The sequence below is a fragment of the Homo sapiens genome, chromosome 7, assembly GCF_000001405.40.
Source record: "Homo sapiens chromosome 7, GRCh38.p14 Primary Assembly".
Lineage (NCBI taxonomy): Eukaryota > Metazoa > Chordata > Mammalia > Primates > Hominidae > Homo > Homo sapiens.
The window spans coordinates 138821634-138823856 of record NC_000007.14 but is presented as its reverse complement, the minus strand read 5'-3'; the positions used below and the strand labels follow the sequence as shown (position 1 = coordinate 138823856).

The 2223-nt window shown below is 45.3% G+C and overlaps 1 annotated feature.

Annotated features, from left to right (window-relative positions):
- Positions 1423 to 1977: an enhancer, noted in NCBI's record as "OCT4-NANOG hESC enhancer chr7:138506625-138507179 (GRCh37/hg19 assembly coordinates)". NCBI's record gives its function as "activates a minimal SCP1, AML or CMV promoter by ChIP-STARR-seq in naive and primed H9 embryonic stem cells {active_cell/tissue: H9 hESC(naive and primed)}" and the evidence as "EXISTENCE:reporter gene assay evidence [ECO:0000049][PMID:30033119]".

Here is a 2223-nt window from a genome sequence, read left to right as displayed (position 1 = left end):
AACATCACTAATTTAAATGTGGCCTAATTATATCTTTTTTTTTTTTTTTTTTTTTTGAGACAGAGTCTCACTCTGTCACCTAGGCTGGAGAACAGTGATGTGATCTCAGCTCACTGCAACCTCTGCCTCCTGGGTTCAAGTGATTCTCCTGCCTCAGCCTCCTGAGTAGCTGGGACTACAGGCACCCACCACCATGCCCAGCTAATTTTTGTATTTTTAGTAGAGATGGAGTTTCACCATGTTGGCCAGGCTGGTCTCAAACTCCTGACCTCAGGTGATCCACCCGCCTCGGCCTCCCAAAGTACTGGGATCACAGGTGCAAGCCACCGGGCCCAGCCGAATTATGTCTTTTTAAAGCCTATTCACTTAACTTTTTTTGTTCTTCCTTTCCTGGTCAAAATGTGAATTAGCAAAAATAAAAGAAATAAAAACCTGTATAACTCTACCACCAGAGACACTGGCATCAAAATTTTGGTAAATTTTGGTCTTTTTAAAATAATAAATAAATAAATAAATAAATAAATAAATAAATAAATAAATAATCCCAGCATTTTGAGAGGCCGAGGCGGGTGGATTGCTTGAGCCCAGGAGTTCGAGACCAACCTGGGCAACATGGCGAGACCATATCTCTACTAAAAAATATATAAAAAATTAGCCAGGTGTGTTGGTGCACATCTGTGGTCCCAGCTACTTGGGAGGCTAAGATAGGCTGAGAATTGCTTGAGCCTGGGAAGTGGAGGCTGCAATGAGCCAGAATTACATCACTGCACTTCAGCCTGGACAACAGAGCAAGACCCTGTCTCAAAAAAAGTTAAAGGCTGGGTGCCGTGGATCATGCCTGTAATCCTGGCACTTTGGGAGGCAGAGGCAGGCAGATCACTTGGGCCCAGGAGTTTGAGACCAGCCTGGGCAACGTAGCGAAAACCCATCTCTACAAAAAATACAAAAATTAGCTGAGTGTGGTGGTGCACGTCTGTAGTCCGAGCTACTCAGGAGGCTGAGGTGGGAGGATCACTTAAACCAGGGAGACAGAGGTTGTAGTGAGCTGAGATCATGCCACTGTAATCCAGCCTGGGCAACAGAGTGAGACCCTGTCTCAAAAACAAAAAAATTTTTAAATAACAAATAAATCTAAGCCAACTTAATGTTGTTTGGCGATCGGGACGGATGGGGATGATTTTCTTTCTAATTGACCTTCTGGTAAGCTATTGGTTTGGATTCCAGAGTACACAAGGGCAGAGGGTGGCAATAAAAGGATAAGAATTTGTGTGAGATGCAATCCGGAAAGAAAGATCAGAAGATATTCTGGGGCTCTCCAGCAGCCATTTTTCTAACTGCTGGAGGGAAATGGCACCCAGCAGCTAGAGCATCCTAGGGAGTCCCACCCTTTTGTGCCTATCCTGTGCTCTAGTTGACAGGCAATGCCCCACTGACCTCCTGATACAGTTCATGGAATTTTGCAGAGGTTTCCCAGGTTTGTGGCTGAGATGAGAACTTCGTGACTAGGCAAGCCGGGTCCAGAAAGTGACCCTTGGTTTTGAGCCTTTGTCTTTAATGCTGGACAACGGTGAGACTTAGCTCACAAGCTGCATTTTTAGGGACCCTTGTGAAAAACATCTGTATCGATGTCTTTTCCTTGACTGCAGGACTCTCTTTAACTGCTATCCAGGTGAACCTATCAACTCCTCATAAGGCATTTCCTGCCACGGCTGGTGTCCCGCTGTGACTCCCCCAGCCACCGATCAGACAGGAATGAACCAGAAGTAGCTTACCAACTATGAGGTTGGTGCAAAAGTAATTGCGGTGTCATCATTACTTTTAGTGGCAAAAACTGCAATTACTTGGCACCAGTCTAATATTTCTGTGTTGGGGCTCAGGAAACAATACCCCAAAATATGGCACTCTGACATGCTGACCTGAAGAAGAGGTCTCGAGTTCTCTCTGACCCCGCTGCCTCCTGTCTCTCCATCCTCTGTCTCTCCCGAAATACAGGATGAAGTTGTTCTCTGAGGTTCCCTTATCTGCCTAACATCTGGACTTACAAAAAAGAGAAAAGTGACCTCTGGTCCCTTCCCTGAGGTCTTGTTAACTGAACTCATATCGCAGGAAGAAAGACTAAGTCTGTCAATGCAACTGGACAGACTTTTGTCACAAATCATTGTCTGCTCCGCAGGCACAACAGACTTTGTCTCAGGTCATTGTATGTTCTTCAAGCCCATTGAA